We start from the raw sequence: 20681 nt of genomic DNA on the forward strand, positions 1-20681 counted from the left end.
ATAAATTATATAAAACATATTTAATGCTGCTTTTAATAATGGTAAAAAGTTCAAAACCTGGAATGCAGAAAACTTAGATTTTTTATTTTTTATGAGGTAGGATAAACTCTCTTACCCACATAAGTGTGTATACTGGAAGGGCAAAAAGAATATGTATGTTAGAATTACAAAGTTCTTATGGAAGTTCTGTCTGAAGTCTTTTCAAATAATGTTTGAAAAAATATGAGAATAACCTGAAACTTAAAAAGCTTTTTGAGAGTGAAACATTTTCTTTCTTTGTAAATTATAAAAGGCTATAGTGTAACAATTATAGGTAGGTAGATAAACATGAACATGTCTTCCTAATAATAGATAACAATAGCTAACTTGTAATGGTGTGGTTACAATGCTCCAGGTGTCCCCTATTCCACAGACAAGGACACAGAGAGAATGAACAAATTATCTGAAGTTATGCAGCCATTAAAGGGCACAGGTGGGATTTGAACCTAGGGAGAATCATACCAGTCTGTACCTCTGGCCATGTTTAATTTCTTCTCAAGGCACTTGAGGATGTTGCAGTGCTCTGGAAGGCCAAGAGTTAGTATATTAGAAAAACAAATGTTTTTTATCCAAGCTATGCTGCATAAAGAAACAGAAGAAAAGATTCATCTTTCTTAGTGGAGAAGAAAATGAGTTTCTGCTAGCAGACTACATGTTCCCCCAGAGCCCGGAAATGTTACTTTGATTTCCAAAATTGTTCAGCTTACAACTGGAAAATGAAACATGTCGGCCAGAGATGGTAGGTAGGTCTTGTTTTGTGTATGAACGAGATTGTCCATAGTGGCTGTGTGAGTGCGCCTGGCAGCTTTCTAGGCCCTGGAGAGACTGATGAGTAAGAACGCTAGGAATGTGTCAGTCTTGGTGCAAGCAGTCAAGGAACTTAGTGAGTATAATAAACCATTATGTTTTCTAAAAGTTTCCTCTTGTCCTGAGGTCTCCCATTCATCTCCTTCCCCACCACACACCCACACTTCTATGCTTGTGTTTCACAGGGTATTATGGTTCCTTGTAAATTATGTGATTCATTCGTAGAGTTTAGAATGAACTAAATTAAAGATTTAATTTAGGTATATAAATATTTGACTATCTGAACACCCCAAAATGGCGATCCTATGTGGTTCAACTAATACACACGTGGTACTATGCAAAAGAGCCACTCTTTCTTTTATTCACTCAGCCCTCTGTCTTTTCACTCAGTGTCTTCTAGAGATAAGTAAGTGTGAGCTCTGGAGCTAGACAGTTGGGCTTAATAAATCATGGCTCTGCCACTGACTAGCTCAGTGTCAGTGGACAAGCCACATAACTTCTCCTAATAGAGCTTCTCCATCTCAAGAAATCAGGAAAAATAAAAGTGACCTTATATACCTTAATATGTATTTCATAGACTCAGACACTCTGATGCTAGTGCTTTACTGATGTTACCAAAAAGCATCAACGTAAAGTTTTCACACAACTACAGCACCTTGCTGGGGTAACGCTATTAACTGTATGCAGCTTCTTGATCTTAGAATTGTTAAAATGTGGGAAGTAATGATGAGTCTATAAGACGTGATGAAGTAATTACTATAAATATTAAATGAATTAATATGCCAAGTCCACAGCCCAGTATCTATGCACCTGGAAAGAACTCAGTATTAATAAAATCCATCCATGTTGTTGGATGGGTTTCTGTGTAGGGGTTTACACAAGACTGGCCATAGTTTTGGTTCAACGCAGTCTCTGAGGCCATGTTTTCTACAACCACAAAAGAGGTCCACTTTAATTTATATTGTTCACATGAGGCCTGAAGAGATGAGGCTTTGATTTAGTTTTATTTATTCCAAAGGTTGCAGAGTTACTAGTGCAGTGGTATGAAACTAGGTATTCCAGGTGAAAAAACTGTGGGACAAAAGGAAAACATTTCCGTCAGTCTGTGGTGGTTGATGCTTTTTTAGATACCTAAAGATTAAGATGGAGATAAAACAGGAGAAAATGAAACAAAAAAATTATTACAATAGTATCAGCCTCTGAATATAAAAGCGATTTAAAATGAAAATAAAAATATTCTCATTCAATGTTTTGCTGCTGACCACGGATGTTAACAAAATGTCTTTACCATATATAATAAAAAACTATTAGAAAAAAGCAGCAAACTCTAAAATTTCAATATGCAAACTACCTTTCTCACAAAGTAGAAACTAGAAAAATAAGCTGTCACTGATAAATATATATGTATTAACCTACAAGATAAAGGTCAACATTCTTAAACTTGCAGTTTTTTATTCAATGTTCCTTAGTTGCAGAGAAAGATCAAGTAAATTACTGTAGAAGCTGACATCCATTTCATAATTAAGTTAGCCATTAATTCCTGAATTCCTGAATATATGAATACTTTTTTGAATTACTCGAGGTCAGCATGTCCAAAGTTTAAAACCTGATTAAATGAATCTAATATATCAAATATATGTTGGCTTACAGTAACAGAATACCTCAAAGGATGTCTGTCTCCCATCATGTTTCTGATTCACAAACATGTTCTAATCAACAGGCTTCACCTCTTCTCCTCCTTCTGCCTCCTCATCCAAGAGTGGGCACTTAAAATATCAGGTCAGGTGTGGTGGCTCATGTTGCATGTAATCCCAGTGATTTGAGAGGCTGAAGTGGAGGATCACTTCAGGCTAGGAGTTCAAGACCAGCTTTGGCAACATAGTGAGACTTCCTTTCTAAAAAAAAAAAAAAAAAAAAAAGGCCAGGCACACCCTAGTCCCAGCTACTCAGGAGCCTGAGGTATGAGGATGTCTTGAGCCCAAGAAGTTTGAGGCGGCTGCAGTGAGCTATGATCATGCCACCGCACTCCAGATTGGGTGCCACAGCAAGACCCTGTCTAAAAAAACTGTAATTCTCATGTAGGCTTAGTTTTTGCTAAAACAATCATAAAATATATATTCTCAGATTTTAAGTTGTACCTATCGTTAGCATATCCATTTGTTGTACTAGAAATTGAAGGTACTGGAATTGCTTTAAATATACAAATAATCTCTCTCAAACTTGTTTTAGCTGCTGTAGCATCATCTTTTTCCACCCACCCAGTGCTTAATTAGGCTAAGAAGCAGAAAAAATGGTGATGTGTGAGTTCTTACTACAAACCTTACAGAAGTACTGACGATCAATGAAAAAGCAAGACCCGTAAGACTGAATTTGCTGCATGAAAAAAAAGAGAAGTGCTCTTGCTTTCTCCCCTCTGAGTCCTTTCATAATGGGGGTCAATCAACTGATACTTTCCAGGAAGGAAGATTTTTTTTTTTTTTTTTTTTTTTTTTTGCTGTTTGCTTGTTGTTGCTAAGGATATGGTGATAATAACTGTCAGGTAGTTTATATTTGTATGATCTCAAAGTCATCTTGTATGAGTCAAAAAAGTGACAGTTCAGGATCACATGAACTCTAAGGTCTTCCAGTTTTCCTTATGAGTTAGTCTTCCAACTTTTCCTTTGAATATGAAAAATGATACTTTCTCCCCCCAGTAAGGAAAAAACTTTTAAATCAAAACATAAAGCTACAATGCGGTAAACATGAGAGGGAAAAGGAGCCTGGTTGTTGAATGTCTCTTCTTTTTAATACCATCAGGGTCCATTAACACGCTGGTGACCTGGAGATACCCTGAAGAGCTGTGGGAACAACCAGTGAGAGCCTAGTTTATTGAGGTCACAACTCAAAATGCAGGATTGTTATTGGCTTAAAAGGAGGTAAACTGCAAAAATCAAATCATTGTCTGGACTGATGTTTTACCAATCCACTGTTACAGTGTCTGTTTGAAAATGGCATTGAAATGAAAGTTTTAGGACATACATGTTGTTTAAAATGTAGAAGGAAAAATTATTCAAGTTATTAACAATGAAGAGATGGACATGCTACATCAGACTAAAATCACACACATATTTGGCTAAACAAACAAAAAATCAGCAAAAGAAAGCAGGTATGGCTATATTAATATGGAATAATGTGGAATTTAGAACTGAAGGTACTGAAAGTTACTGAGCAAGGACTGGTAAAAGTTACAATCCAAGTTTTAAGCACATATCATCATGGTCTGGAAATACATCCAAAAAGCTCATGGGAAATGTTAATAAATCCCTTTCAAGAACTGATAAACCAAATGGAAGTAAAACATTAGTATCTGAAAAACAAATTAATAGGCTTGGAGAAATGTGTACCCAATAACCAAATGAATAAATATTCTGTATCGATAAATATAAAGCTGGTTCTCTTAATAGAATAATAATATTTGACTACCCTGATGAAGAAAAAAGTAAAAAAGAAAAAAGGGAGAAAGAAAACATAACCTAAGGTATGATACAGATTTTATGAAGATAATACTGTATGGAATTTTCTATTGATACATTTTTTAAAAGCTAGATTCTGCAAGAGACTTTTCAGGAAAATGTAAATTGTGAAACATGTTCAAAAATAAGTGCAATATCAGAATTATACCTATTCCTACTGAAGAAAACCTATCCCCAAAATGATAAAATTGTAGGAGAATTTGAGCATTTTTAATGGAGAGTTCATTGTGATGTATATAATCCAGAGCATAGGAAAAATGGCAATCTTCCTAATTACTTATTGTAGGCTAGCATAAGCCTAAGACTAACGTTGAGCAAAATATTGAAAAAACAAAGTATAAGATAACCACATATAACTTAAAATTCCTGAGTAATATAGCAGCAAATAAAATATATCAACCCATTAAAAGAATAACATTATGACCAAGTAGGTTTATTCCAGGAAAGTTCAATTCAATATTAGAAAATCTAATGGCATTAATGATGTAATTCACTCTTATTAATGGGCTAATACACAATCATCTATGTAGATGAAGAAAGTGTTATAAAATTCAACATGTACATACAAAATTTCAAGGTAAGTGAAGTATAAACTGGTATCTATACTAAATGCTATGCATAATCGTGAAACATACAAAGCCTTCCTATTATAGTCAGGAATAATAAAACAATGCTTGTAATGATCACTGCTACTAATGGTACAGAAAAAAAAAATACTATTCATCTTGGAAAAGGGAAAAAACTGTCATTAATTGCCGTTATGATTGTTTGTCAGGAAAATCCAAGAGAATCGCCAAAAAGCTATTAAAAGTAATACAACAGTAAAATAAGACAGTAACAGGAGAAATAAAAGTTGATAAATCTCCAACAGAGCAGTAAAGTATCACTAGAAAAAATGCTATAAAAAGTAGAGCCCACTCATAATAGCAATGAAAATTATTAGAGTGTAATAAAATGAGATGTTTAGTGAAATTCCATGAAAGTATATACAATGTGAAAAGTGAGAATATTATAGTATTGGATAGAATAGTAAATGAAACTGTTAGCTTTTCACAATTCAATCAAATTTTGAATAAAATTTGTTATGGAACTTCACAAAATAATTCTACAATTTATGCACAAGAGAAAATGCGAAAAAAAGAACGTAAGAAATTTTAAGAGGCTTCTTCAGAACTGATAATTTAGTGTAAAAATTGAGTATTGTACAGGAATTTAAAGGTCAATGGAATAGAAGATCCGGAAACAAACACATGCTTATATGACAACTGTGATGTAAGTATGTGATATAAGTATATGTGATATAAGTATATGTGATATAAGTGTATATGATGTAAGTATATGTGATATAAGTATGTGATGTAAGCATATGTGATATAAGTGTATATGATGTAAGTATATGTGATATAAGTATATGTGATATAAGTATATGTGATGTAAGTATATGTGATATAAGTGTATGTGATATAAGTGTGTATACGGTAAAGAATGCATTCCACATGGTTGGGTTTATATTGAAGTTTTTAACAAGTAGTGTTTGGAAAACAGATATAAGTGATATAACTTTGATATAAGTGTGTATACGGTAAAGAATGCATTCCACATGGTTGGGTTTATATTGAAGTTTTTAACAAGCGGTGTTTGGAAAACAGATATAAGTGATATAACTTTGATATAAGTGTGTATACGGTAAAGAATGCATTCCACATGGTTGGGTTTATACTGAAGTTTTTAACAAGCGGTGTTTGGAAAACAGATATAAGTGATATAACTTTGATATAAGTGTGTATACGGTAAAGAATGCATTCCACATGGTTGGGTTTATATTGAAGTTTTTAACAAGTGGTGTTTGGAAAACAGATATAAGTGATATAAGTGTATGTGATATAAGTGTGTATATGGCAAAGAATGCATTCCACATGGTTGGGTTTAGACTGAAGTTTTTAACAAGTAGTGTTTGGAAAACAGACCTTTATCTAGAAATGTTTTAGAAAGTTAGATTTCTGCATCACACAAAATCATTTCTAGGTGGATTAAAGAGATAAATGCAAAATAATGGGAACAATACAGAATAATCATCTTATAATTTAAAGGTGTTAAGACCTTCTCAAAAATCTAGTCAAACATAGTGAGAACCACATAAAAATGAAACTTGCTATACATTTCTGTAAGAAAATTTACTAGATTAGCAAAAGATCATGAAAAAATGCATATAAGCTCTAATTAGAAAAACACAAATAACTCAACAGGGAAAATAAAATACGTAATTCAAAGAAACACAAATGGCTAATGAGCATAAGAAAAAAATCTCCAATCCCCTCATTAGTAATCAGAAAAGTCTAATTGTTAACATGAGGTATCTTTTGTTGCCTATCATAATGGCAAAACTTTTAAATGTGTGTGATGTCCAGGACTGTTGAGGATGAGTGTAAATATATTTTTGTACACAGGCTGGTAGGAGTGTACATTGGCATAGTTTTTAGAGAAATTTGGCAACGTCTTACTAAAATTTAAACTACACATACTTTTATCATTGAAAATAACCATTTCAAAGGGGTACTAACACTCTGTATGCATGTTTTTTTATTAGCAATATTGCAGAAGAGATCCAAATTACCAGGAATGGCCTAGAAAAACATGTTTCTGGATGGGATCCATAAACCATGTTGATAAATGTATAGTTTTCAGGTTTTAGTACGTCACATGGTTACAGTCATTTTACAGAATACTTTAAACTAGTATTGTGGCCTGACTCAAAAGCTAACTTCCAAAGAAAAAAGAAGGCGGCCCTGGCTGGATTGTCTTACATTTTGTGGTTACTATTTTGAGCTGCACAAAATCCTTTTGCCAGAGGAGGAAGTTACTGGCTTTTAGAAAGCCTTGTCTTCTTTCAGCTAAAAGGCACTTTTAAGCATGCTAAAACATTTATTATTTCAGCCATATTTAACTTATCTCCACATTCTTTAATCCAGCAATTCCATCTCCAAGACTCTACTAGTACTAGAAAAATATTCCCATGCAAAGAGACATGCACAAGGATGTTTACTGTGGCATTGTTTTTAATAGCAAAAAAATTGGGAACAACAAATTAATTAGGAAATGGTTCAATAAAACTATTATGTTCATATTATGGAATAATATGTAGCAGTTAAAAAGAGGTAGGTGTACATATATACTAATATGGAAAAATTACCAAGATACACTCAGTGAAAAAAGGCAACTTACAGAATAATACATAATGTACAATCTCATTTTCATAAAAACAAAAGAAAATCATTATGGACATGTGTGTGTAAAAATGCTTTTTGGAAGGACTAGAAACTAGATCAACCAGCTAAACAGAAGTTCCTTCTGTAGCATGGCAGCGGGTTTCCATTTTTTATTAGTTTCCTAGTTTTTTTAATATAAAAAGAATGTTTTTACAAAGAAAATAGTTGTTTATTATGCCTACAAAAATTAATATTTATATTTATTGTGTATATATATAAAACCTTACAAACACTTAAAGTTTATACATATACACACTAGATATGGCCTGTGAATTGTACATCAACCATAAGAAAATCATTTAAACAGTGTTTATCTAAATGGTGTGAGCATTAAGTGTTATGATGTGTGAATCTGAAAATATAGTTTCATTTGGATGTACAACAGCATGGAGGCACAGTCTAAGAATCAATTTTAGAAAAGACTATTCCGATTAGCAAATTTAGTAAAAGTTTCATTATGGAAATTCCCAGAGGCAAGCTCTGGCATTTAATGATTAGAAAAGTAACAAGAAAGTATTGCCTACAAAGTGAATCAATAGAAAAGTAAATTTCACGGTCTAATATAAAATAACCTTTATGTTAAGCAAAAAATATAGTTAGAGGAGGTATATTATATAAGTGTTTTCAATGTGTACAGTATAAGACTATATGGTGTGATGATTAAGAAACAAACAGATAAATACAAGTGGAGAATTCCTTTGCCTCTTAAAATTCAGAATGAATCATAGTAAGATACATAAACAATTTTACAAAATTTAGCAAGACTGTTTCCTTTTGTTGCCCTCTGCAACCATTACTATATCAAACTGAAGCAAATGATCAAGTCAATGGATAAAGGCCAGTCAAATCTAAGTGTGTTTCACTAAGTACATAAAACGATGGCTTCAATGAATTGCACAAGAATTCCAGGTGTCCACTGCAGTTTCCAGGTTCAGTCCTATAACCCACTTTACTGAAGTTTCCCTTATGGTGGTGGCTCTAATGGGAAAGGCCTGTCAGTCAACAGAACAATTAACTTGAGCAGAAACAAATTAAAACATGAGTTATATTAAGAATTAACACCGAAGTTCACTGAAGGTAAAGGATGTGATTTTTCTATCACCACCAGTAGGGTCTATTCCTGAATCACTTGATGTTTTTCTTCTATGATGATGGGAAGGTCCAAAATGATTCTCTCTGCTGCACACCGTACATGGTTGCCATGCTACGCGTTTCAATGGTGAATAGTGCAAGAACAAATACATACTTTTTGTACTGTTGTTCCCAGTACTTGGGATTTTTGCAACATTCAAAGCAGCTCAAGTAGAAAAGAAAAAGTTCAAACCAGTCACCAGATCCAAAATTAGCATTTTATTCAGAACGCTGGGGTCAGAGGTGTATCATTTATATTCTGGTACACAATACAGAGGCAAAGCTGTTGTCAGAAGTCTCTCCAGTTTAAAAGCTTTTTTTTTTCCATTTTTTTTTTAAAAAAACACACACTTAGTAGTGCCACCAGTGTCAGGCCACCCCTTTCTTTCCTTTCCTTTTTTTTTTTTTTTGGTACAAATTATGTAAAACATTTGTGCTAAGAACTTTTCTCCCTCCCCAAACCAAAAAGAAAATAAAAAATAAAAAAATTAAAAAAATTAAAAATTGAGTATTCTAACTACAGCTCAACAATTGAATCAAATGTCACTGTTTTGTAAATACTTTATCCATAACGAAAGATATAAACATGCAAAAAACCTGAATCCATAGTCCAAATAATACATACACATGTTCTGAAGTTTCTGCACTTCTCCATAGACTATGCCAATAAAACATTATGTACACATACTATTTTTACAGTGAAGTGGAAAAATACAGAAATAAAAAAGTGTACATGGATTAAGACCAAAATGTGTCTAACATTCTAGTTTATGAAAAAATTCAATTTTGCTACAAATTGGTGATATGAAAACTCCCTTTATTTGCAACCAGCTGAGTAAGTTTTAAGATTTTAGTGAAAAAAAAAAAAACAAACTAAAGTCTAAAACTAGAAGTAATGTACATTTTCCAATCTCATGGTCTCATCCCCCAAGATAATAAAATCGCTCCATGAGTTTTTTTGTTTGTTTAATTTTGTATTTTAATAAAAGCAAATGCAATGTAACAAAAGCGTGTTGAAGCATATCATGGTTTAACTTACTGCTCCCACCACAAAATATTTTGTCTTTTACTTATCGTTTCAGAAATCAGTACCATTAAAGCCTTAAACAGAAAACTAATTCCAATCTGAAAAAGGTACAAAAAGGCACATAAAATCCCAGTGCTTCTGTACTGTAAAATTCAAGTGTAACTGAGCTCAGTGTTTTTCCAAACAGTATGGATCACTGATATTCCCTCTGAGCCCAAATTGGTTTGCAGCCTATGCCAAAGCCTCCAGCAAGCACTGTGCTAGTAGACTACAAAGTTAAAGCCTAGCTTCTGAATGCTTTTTGGGAATATCAGTTGAAATTGTTTGTACTTGTCCAAAAACCAAGTTCACCCTGAAGTTCAGTCATCACCTCCACCATACATGTCAGCAAGTTTCTTGAACCGTGGCCCCCAGTCGTTCAGGTAATCATAGTCCTGCTCACCACCACTACTTGAGGAATTAAGGGAGCTCAAGGACCCAGCAGTGGAGCCACTGCCTTCATAGTCAAACACTAACAGGGAGTCATATGGTGGAGCTGTGGGGTCATTGTCAGCCGCTTTAAGGCCCTGCAATTTGGAAACACAAAGAATGAAAGAATTAAGAGAGGGTTACACTTTACAAAACCACAAGCAGATCCTAATGAATTCACGGGATCAAACAAACACTTGTTTGTAAATTTCCATTTACATACCATATTTTCAACACATGGAAAAGGGAGATATAACCATTTGAAAGTTGGACAAAAATTAACTTATATCTTTCCGGTGCAAAGAAACAACCCTAAGCAGTCAAGCTCAGGGAGGCCAAGGCTTATGAAGGGAGGGGGTTAACTGGGTAATAAGTTGGACAGGTGGCAGAAATGAATGGCCCTGCTTGAGGCAGAGAAGAAAGGATCTTAAATAACATAATATATAGAGCAGCATTGCTAGATTAAATTTAAAAAAAGCACCTCACTGAAATACAAGAGACACACAAATGAGTACCATGTGGTCCATGTCCCTCCACAGGCTTACAGTCTAGCATAACAGGTATTACTACTGTGTGAAGCAAATGACAAGTGACAAAACTATGAAGTCAAAGCAAAAGCCATCAGGTTGTGGGGGAAAAAAATTCACATCAGCATTAAGAGCTAGGAGTTCAAAGAGAAAGTAGCATTGTATTTGACCTCATTTTGGAAGGACATCAAAGGAAGACTGAAGACAGGTCAGATGTGATTACTACATAAAGGGAGGTACTCAGAAAATCATTTATGTGACTAACATAGCATAAAATGTGGAATTAATTAATTGTAAACTGGTATTTTAAAAAATAGGGTATCTTCTAACTTCCAAAAAATCCTAGAAATGTCATAATCCAATATCTGTACACGGTATAAATATTGAAAAGAGGAGGACTCCTGTCAATCTAAAATAACATGCGTTATCTGGTTCTTATAAAGAATTTTAAGAAAAAAGAAACAAGGAAATAACTACTATCTATATTTGTAACTTTTGTAAGCAGATGCTTTTTAATATACAATTAGAGTCTCTATGCTCTGCAAAACTTCTAAGGATTTAGTATTAGGTCCTCTGGTATATTTTCTACTTAATTTTTTCCCCCAATTCCATTCTAGTACTCCTAGATACACTAACATTAGTCTCCAAACAATCGTTTGCTTTTTCCACACTCTACTTGTCAAATGCTAGTTGGCTTATATGGCCTCACCTATCTAAGATGTGTCACAGACAGTCCTACCCTTGAGAGATCAAGCCTGCCAATACACATGCATTTTATGAGCGCATACATGGGTTTTTATGAGCATGTGTTCACCTATCCTTTCAAGGTTACAAAGGAGAAACAGGGAAGAAGAGCAAAAAAATTAAGGTCAGAATCAGTATGGTGTAGTGGTTAAGAGATCAGACTGTGAGATGACACCTTAGCTCTCCCCAGTACTAGCTGTGGGACCTCCGCTTAACCTCATCTACAACTGTAATCATAATAATAGGACTATTATAAAGACCAAATGCAATAAAGGGACCCGAGGTCTCACCACAGTGACTGGCACATGTAGAGCTCAATGAATATTAGTTAGTATTTTTAAAAAATTTAAGTTTTGAGAAAAATGTCCTGCCTTGGGATTTGAAAAAATAAGAAACGATGAAGATATATTTTAAGAAACAAAATGGCAGCTGCTTGACTCACGTCAAAAATCAGAGAAAAAAGTACACATGACCAGTTTTCTCATCTCCAGGTACCTCTTTACTAACAATCCATGAAATTTAGCAGTACTTTACTACTTTTCGTCATGTCATTTTATACTGTTTATACTCCAGAAAAGCCTGTGTAAAATAAAATAAAGCAGGTTTCAGCAAAATACTTTGATATATACAACATAAATAACTTTAGATAGGATTTTATCTTATTTTTAGACTAAGCTACAAGGCAATTCTGCTAAGACTGAGAACCACAACCTACAATTTCTCAAAACTTGTAACTCCCTTCTGTGGTAGATTGTGTTACTGCCCTCAGTGATTCACTGCTCTTTTTCTGAAGGCAGAACACACACCCACACTCCCACAGAGCCTCTCTGGGGTCAGGGTTTACTTTCCCAACCACACTGTAAGGCTTGGCTGTCTGACTGGCTTTGGCCAATGCAATGTAAGTAGCTGTGAAAAGTACCCGCTTCAAGAACTCTATCTAATGTGTTTCCACCCTTCCACTAATCCCCCTTTCCCCCTCTGCCAGGAGAATGGCCTGCTCCAGATGGGAAGTTTATCTGCCTGGATCCTGAAACGAAGACGACATATGGATCAGGAACTGAGTCACTGACAGACTACAGCTGACTTACAACTTAAGTAAGAAGTAAACCTTCATTATTATAAGCAGCAATATTTTGGAGTGGTCAGTGATTGGTACCTTAGCTAACAAAAGCCGAAGAATGCACCTTCATTCATTTTGTTTGTGTTTATTCATTAGATTCAAGATGTATTTGTTGATTATCTATTAATATTATTGCAATGTATTCTGCTAACTGGTAGAGACACAGCTACTAATGAGCTAGATCCAATGGCTGCCCTCGTGGAGTTAATATTCACATATTAGCCTACACTCCTCTTCCCTACAAGATCTAGCAACTGCAAATTTAACCAACAGCGGATTGCCTTAGTTCAGCATTGTCTGACTTGGGGTCATACAAGTAGGCCCAAGAAGGATCTGAAGAAAAAACAAGAAAAATCAGGGAAATTCCTGATAAGGAGAATGGGTCCCTGAAAACAAATATTAAATTTTCATTATGACAATTGCTTTATAATACAGACAACAGAGACAATGGCTAAGATCACTTTGTTCAGGTCATCTGCTTTACCACAATTTAATTATTAAGCGAAAATACACACAGAGCCCTGGCCCAATCCTTATGATGTCAACACCAAACTGGAAATATGGAGAGGTCAAGACTCAAATTAGGGATAGCATTAGGAGAAATACCTAATGTAGATGATGGGTTGATGGATGCAGCAAACCACCATGGCACGTGTATACCTATGTAATAAACCTGCACATTCCGCACATGTATCTCAGAATTTAAAGTATAATAGTAAAAAAAAAAAAAAAAGAAAAAGAAAGAAAAAGAGAATGACAAGTTAAAAAAAAAAAAAAAGACTCAAATTAGCCCGAAAGGGTCAATGGCAAGGCCTCAAGTGTGTCTGAATTTGGAGGAGAAAAAAGGGATGGCCTGTGTTTACTATGTCCAGGGAATAAACACAAGAAGGGGTCTGGTCTTCCCTGGTGTGTTCACGGACCCCAGGACTCTTCATCAAATGACTAAGCCACCTAATTCAATTCCTTAAAATAAATATAATGCTTGTGATAATCAACTCCCATATCCACTATTGAGAGTCTAAAAAATATTATTTTCTTTATTTTTTAGCTCCTGCCCTGGCTTTCTGATCATCCTGGTAGTTTACAAATCTCTGTTTTCTTTATTTCTGTTTTTTTTTTTTTTTTTTTAAAGAGGTTAAGGCCATAAAATCCATTAGAGAGAGACCACTGTGCTATGCTAGAGCACGGCACATTGCCTTATGTTTTAATAATTACAAAAGGGCAAAATCACTGAACTTTTCAAGAGTTCTTAGACAAGCCAGCTTTCTATGCAGGTTAAGTACTTTAAATCCCTTCCATTTGGATAGCACTGATTTTTATCTGAGAATAAAATATGACTCTTCTGAACGAGGTATTATATAAACTCTTGGTAATATTTTGGTAATTCTAAAAAGATCGCACTGAAGTCCTAAGAAACTGACAGTAACAGGCACGAAATCTGAGTGAATGTACAGAAGAAATCCAGTGGGCAACAGAACCTTCTGGTTCTCCCTTATGGGATTCCTTTATTCTTGGATATGAACATTATTTCACAGGATGTACTGTTACCAAATTTACAAACTAAACGCCTGTGTTTCTCTAGGTTTGACTAAATTTAGCAAAGTATCCTCTTGTTCCACCTTTCCTGGAGAGGTAGATCTTGAATTCTGGATAAAGCTGAACTGTCTTCTAAAGACTGAGGCTTCTCTGCAGAGTGAGAGAGCTTGGCTCTGGCTGAATTCTTGCTGAGCTTGTATTTATAGACTTCTGATCCCAGGCTTTATGGGCGGAGACATGCTTTTATGAGGATAAAAACCCACATTATCCAGCGAGGAACACATGAGGGATGTAAAAGAAAAGAGGTCTTACTGTTTCCTTTACATTCTGTCTTCTACAGTCCTAGTGCCACTGCTTTAGTGGAGGTCATCATTATATCTTGCCTGGACCAGAGAAAAAGCCTGCCTAACTGGTCTTCGCCTGTCTCCAGCACTGTTCCAGCTTCTTTCCTACAAACTATTGGTTTCTGTCTCAAACGTTATTTGATATCACTCCCGCAAGTAAGACCTCTGACTGCTCTCTATGACTCCTTCCAAATGAAAGAGTTCCCCCGACAATGGGCAAAATGATTTTTAATTGGTGCATGAACACTTTAAAACAATTATTTAAGAAAATTAACTTAAAAATTGATGAACAGTTTAAGAAAATAACAAGAAGTACACAGAGAGGGAAAAAACTGGAAGGTGTTAACTCAAATGCCTGCTGTTGGGTAACCTACAGCATACAGTAAAACTCTTTAGAAAGCATTCAGTGAACCAAGACTGTTTACCCACCTTTTCTGTTTCAGCTATTCTCAGCTCCAGCAACCACGACTGAATTATGCACCCCCAAAGGGAATCCCCCCAAACCCCAAAGCATCATGTTCTTGTGCACTTCTATGTTGTTTATTCATTTTTTTTAGAATTATACTTCTTATATTTTTTATCTGATTAATATCCATCCATCCCATCCATCCATCCATCCAAAAGCTCATTAAAAATATCACTTCGACTGCACAGATCTTTTTTCCCCAACCATGACTTAGGAGTCATTCCTGTGGTCTCTCTGGTCCCTTCTACTTTTTTATTTTTTATTTTTAGAGACAGGGTCTCACTCTGTACTCCAGACTGTAGTGCAGTGGCACAATCATGGCTCACTGCAGCCTTGACCTTCCTGGGCTCAGGTGATCCTCCCACCTCAGCCTCCAGAGTAGCTAGGACTACAGATGCCTGCCACCATGCTCGGCTAATTTTTGTTTTTTTTTGTATAGAGGGTTTTTTTATCAGGTTGCTGAAGTCGGTCTCAAACTCCTAGGCTCAAGCGATCTGCCTGCCTGAGCCTCCCAAAGTGCTGGGATTACAGGTGTGAGCTGCTGTGCCCGGCCTCATCTACTTTTATCATCTTGTTTGGATGACACTAGATTGTGACATCCCTTTCTACAGAGGCTGTTTTGTATTCACATCTCACTGTCCAACACACTGCCTGACATTCAACAGGTATTCTATAAGGTAACTATGCATTGTTGTCCTGGGCGTAGTTTTTCCTGCTCAGCATCCTCTTCATATTTATATCCATTCCTTTCAGAAACAGCTAGAATCTAGATTTAAGACATATGTGGATATAAAAGTACACCATACTTACATTACAGTAGAACTGAACATATCAAGGCCAACATTACTACCCCTCTTTCTGGGAATTTCATTTTACTTAAAGCAATTTTTGATGCAGAAGGAGTGGATTTTAATTGTTTTCTTACAATTAGAGAACAGCAGAAAATCTTTTACTCCTAAAAGGTAATTTACCTGTAATAGTTACTAATATGACACCAATAATAATTAAGAGATTTTTACTATGTGACAAGCACTATATGAAGCACATTACAAAGATAATCTCGTTTAGTTCTCACGCAATCTTAAAAGGAGGTTCTATTACTATTCCCATTTTACAAATAAGAAAACTGAAAAGGTTAAAGGCAAGGATCTTGACCTTGTAACAAGGTAACAGAGCTGTTAGGTGGGATGGCTAGATTTGAACTTACACAAATGCCCAACTTCTATAAGACCATAATGAGATATTTTAAAAAACAGAAATTAAAATTAATTAATAGGAGAAAAAGACAAGCATTTTAAACTTTAGTAGTTTCAAGCAAGTTGTAAGAAGCTTCCATAAGTTTTAAACAATATTAATGAAAAGGTGGTCTTTTAACAGAATTATTCACTTGGTTTTTATACTTTTGAGTAGAGAAATATACTTCATATACTAATGAATACATATATACACACATAATAAAAATCTCTTTATATATGTATGTTTGTATCTACAAATATACATATTTATATATGTATATATGTGTATATTTGTATATACACATATATAAATACGTGTATATTTATATATGTGTATATTTGTATATACACATATATAAATAAGTGTATATTTATATATGTATATATGTGTATATGTGATATATGTGTATATGTGCGTGTGTGCACACACAATGATACGGTTTGACTTTGTCCCCACCCAAATCTCATCTTGAATTGTAGTTCCATATTTCCCATAATCCCCACAGGTTGTGAGAGGGACCCGGTGGGAGGTAATTGAATCATGGGGACGGTTACCCCTATGCTGCCGCTCTCACGATAGTGCGTTCTCATGAGATCTGATGGTTTTGTAAGGGGCTTTTCTCCCTTTGCTCAGTACTTCTCTCTCCTGCTGCCATGTGAAGAAGAATGTGTTTGCCTTCCCTTCTGGCAAGATTGTAAGTTTCCTGAGGCTTTCCCAGCCCTGTGGAAATGTGAGTTGATTAAACCTCTTTCCTTTGTAAATCACTCAGGCTTGGCAGTTTTTCATAGCAGCGTGAAAACAGAAAAATACACGTATATATATAAAGAAGTTTATTTCTTTTTACAAAGAAATACACAGGATTAGTATTAGTAAAATTATTGGAGGTATATTAATATCTAACTGTTGGGCTGAGATTAAATGAATTTGTTTGAACTTTTCACTCCCTGAAGGTCATGTTTAAAAATTCAAAACAGAATGAAACTCTCAGTTGAAATTCAAAAACATGTGACTTATTTTACTCTGCCTACCAGACTGGAAATAAGTTATCATTTTTGAGATTCAAGGCAACATTCATTCCTTATTTAAATAAACAAACTAGAAAATGTTCTCATGAGCTTTCTTATTCCTTACATCTATAAAAGCACTCCAATTATAATCACCACTATATTATTCTTCCTTTGGAACATTTGGTGCTCTGCTAAATCAAATAAGACCTGCAGATAAATAAATTTGTGTGCCTTTTAAATATTTTTATAAAATGTGCTTTTCTTTCTTTCTAGGTGCTTTCAACTGTTTTAAAACTCTACAAGTAAGTATTCATTTTTGTCTGTCCAGTAAATGAAGACACTGAACAAGTCTTAACAGTTATCTTGGATGAAAGAGTCTAGATGGTATTTTGGAGAGTTATTACTGGCTTAGGCCTTCTGACTTACATTAGACTTTCATCTCCCTTAAAAGTCCCACAGAACTGACCATCATCTCCTTAAAACTATCGTTTTGATTGTTTTCTATTATACCTACCTCCTTAGATTTTCTGTCTCCAACTCTAGGGGCATTTCTAGCTGAAGATATTTGATTGCTCCTCTCCTTCACATTTCTCTATCTTGTAATTATATTCGAATTCATGGATTTAGGCCAGGTGTGGTGGCTCACACCTGTAATCCCAGCGCTTTGGAAGGTTGAGGATGGAGGATGGCTTGACCCCAGGAGGCTGAGGCTGCAGTTTGTTATGATTGTGCCACTGCACTCCAGCCTGAGCAACAGAGAGAGACCCTGTCTCTTAAAACACACACACACACACACACACACACACAAACACACACTCGTGGATTTAGTTGCCATTTTCAGAATAATTTCCAAATTGGATCCTTTCATCCATTCACTTGGTTCACCAAATCACTGTGCCCCATACTGGCCCCTCCAGGGAGAAGCCTGTCTCCCCTCCCCTGGAACATGGATCAGGGGGAGGCAGGATGGAACCATGGGATCTGTGATCTGAGGGAGGTGAGTTCTGGGTACCATGGGATGCCAGTGGATGGTGTCTAACCCATACTCTGTATGCCTGACCCTTCCTGGGTTGGTAAATACTTAATGAATTTCACCCAACGCTAGAAAAATGGGAAAGGAATTCTAGACAGGAAGAACATCTTGTAGATGGGCACCAGCATGAAATTGTAAGCTGAGATTGTAAATGACAAGTAGAGTTCTCTGTAGATAGCCTGCAAGATGCTGGGTGGTGAGGGCCTTGAGATGAAGTTGGAAAGCCAAATAAGAACCAGACACAAATGGCCTCCTATGCCTGGCAAATAAGGCTTCGGATACTGGCACATTTGCATTGCACAAATATCGTGCTAGCAACAAAGTAGGGTATACACACAAAGAGAATCGATGTCTAATTTATGCTTTTATCTATATATTACTTGCACAGTTATGTTACACACATGGATGTTCAATAGTGATTTGCTGAATGGATGATCTTACATTGAGCTCAAGATGGTTTCACAATGAGACATTTTTCACATATGCAGATAATCTTCAAATTAGGAAGAGATTGTATTCTGGAAGTCAATTTGCAGTCAGTTGTTTGGAAGACGGTTTTTCATATAAGTAATCATACCTGTTTGTTAATGGTCTCCAGCCATAATAAACTGTATACCTGAGCACTGTTTAGGAGAAAGAAAATTCCAAATGGAAATTCCTACTGTAACTCCTACTGTGGCCGAGAAGGGTTGGGTAAGTGAAACTTATTGACTAGATGTCTACTGAAGAAGAGATAGTCATTGTTAAAAAAAGAACAAAAAAAAAATCAATGACCATAGACATAGACACACACACACAAACAAACACACACTCAAACATAAACTCAGAATTTGAATGTAATCTGACAAGTAGGATGAAAGGCTCTAGACTCAGTATCCATTGAATCTCAATCAGATGTAAAGTGGGTGGTGCCCAATAGCATCATGCCCTACACATTTGCCAGGGTGCATACTTGAATGCCTGAAAATGACAAAAATCTAAGAGCTAGGTAACATACTAGATGTTTAAGTTATAAAAACATGAACAAGAAATAGCGCTTGTCCTGGAGATAACTCACATACTGAGTGGGAGAAAGAAATACTGACAGTTACACCCCAGCTGGTGAGGGCTATGACCCGAGGGGCAACTTGTTATCCCTTCCCACAGGCATCAAGGAAGGCCTCACAGAGAAATGTTTTGGCTGAATCCTGAAGGCGAAGTGGCAGTCCTGCAGATGGACAATTAGGTTAAGGGCTTTGCCGAAGTTACAGTATATTCAAAAGTGTTGATGCTTTTGAGGAACTGCAAATAGTTCAGTGGGGCTGCAGCACAGAAAGGGAATGTGGGGACGTGAGGGGTAGAAGAAGGCAGGAATCAGATGAGGAATAGCCTTTATAAATAAACCTTACTGTTTGTTTGATCTTTAGCACTGAGAAAAGAAGAGTATCAGGGATGGAATGAAATCCACAGAACACTGGTACTTCAGGGACAGGCAGAAATATTTAGTAAGGATTTGTTAAATTATACTTAAGCTAGAATTCTGGCTTCAAAAAAGTATGGTTCCAGCTGGGCACAGTGGCTCAGGCCTGTAATCCCAGCACATTGGGAGTCTGAGGCAGGAGGATCATTTGAGCCCAAGAATTCAAGACCAGCCTGGGAAACAGGCTGGTGAGACCCTGTCTCTACAAAAACCAAAAAAAATTAAAAAAAAATTGTAAGGTCCAGTTCCTAAACCTACAGTCAGAAGATTCACTATAACTTGAATTGACAACCATCAGAATAACTCAACAATTTCTTATGATGACAAACATGAAATTAGAAATAAAATCATCAGGCACTCTTACATTTTTCTAAAAGATCTAGGCATATATGTATAAATTTCTGCAAATTCTCCTAACTGGATCTATATATAACTAAGAGCTGGCAAAGTCAGGACATATTTCTGTGGATAAAGGGAGTTACTGGCATTCTGTTGTTTTTGCTTTCCATGTGTTTTTAAATCATGTCAACTACAAATTAACCTTATTACCTATTTAGCAGAAATGAATACATATGTTCAGAAAGGCAGCATATATTTTAGGAACAGACAGTAATGGATAGTTATAGAGACAGGCAACTATTCCAATTTTGTTTTAAAACTTTTTCTACAAGCAATAAGTATATCTAAAAACCTAATGTAGATTATGTTTAATATTATATGAATTTTGAGGAAGCCCAGGATACAAGAGTCTTATCAGCCTATGACTGAAGGCCATATCCAACAGATGCATTCCACTTTGTAATGCACTGAGACCTATTCTGATCTTGGAGACACCAATGATATGACCAGAAAACAGGAGTTCTGCCATATATTCACAGTCAACATCAATATGTAGTGTTCTCTTACATTCACAATACAAATTCAAAAGAATTACAGTAAGACTACAGACATGATCAGAA

General features: G+C 35.5%; 1 protein-coding gene and 1 long non-coding RNA gene across 5 annotated transcripts in view; one reads left to right on the forward strand and one right to left on the reverse strand.

The window, feature by feature from the left end:
- Positions 1-20681, forward strand: part of CDH2-AS1 (CDH2 antisense RNA 1) — a 42099-nt gene that overhangs the window by 20418 nt on the left and 1000 nt on the right. The window contains exons 2-3 of the long non-coding RNA NR_199051.1: positions 12507-12616; positions 17504-17532. This is a non-coding gene — a long non-coding RNA (CDH2 antisense RNA 1). The remainder of the gene's footprint in view (positions 1-12506; positions 12617-17503; positions 17533-20681) is intronic.
- Positions 1-20681, reverse strand: part of CDH2 (cadherin 2) — a 244252-nt gene that overhangs the window by 9133 nt on the left and 214438 nt on the right. For 3 of the 4 annotated variants that reach the window (NM_001792.5, XM_011525788.1, NM_001308176.2), the window contains one exon: positions 8955-10348. The exons of the other annotated variant lie outside the window; for it this stretch is intronic. In NM_001792.5, the coding sequence (NP_001783.2) occupies positions 10142-10348 (207 nt within the window). In that variant the 3' untranslated portion in view covers positions 8955-10141. Of the gene's footprint in view, positions 1-8954; positions 10349-20681 lie in introns of those variants that run through there. 4 annotated transcript variants of the gene reach the window in all.

This window comes from Homo sapiens, chromosome 18, assembly GCF_000001405.40.
Source record: "Homo sapiens chromosome 18, GRCh38.p14 Primary Assembly".
Taxonomy (NCBI): domain Eukaryota; kingdom Metazoa; phylum Chordata; class Mammalia; order Primates; family Hominidae; genus Homo; species Homo sapiens.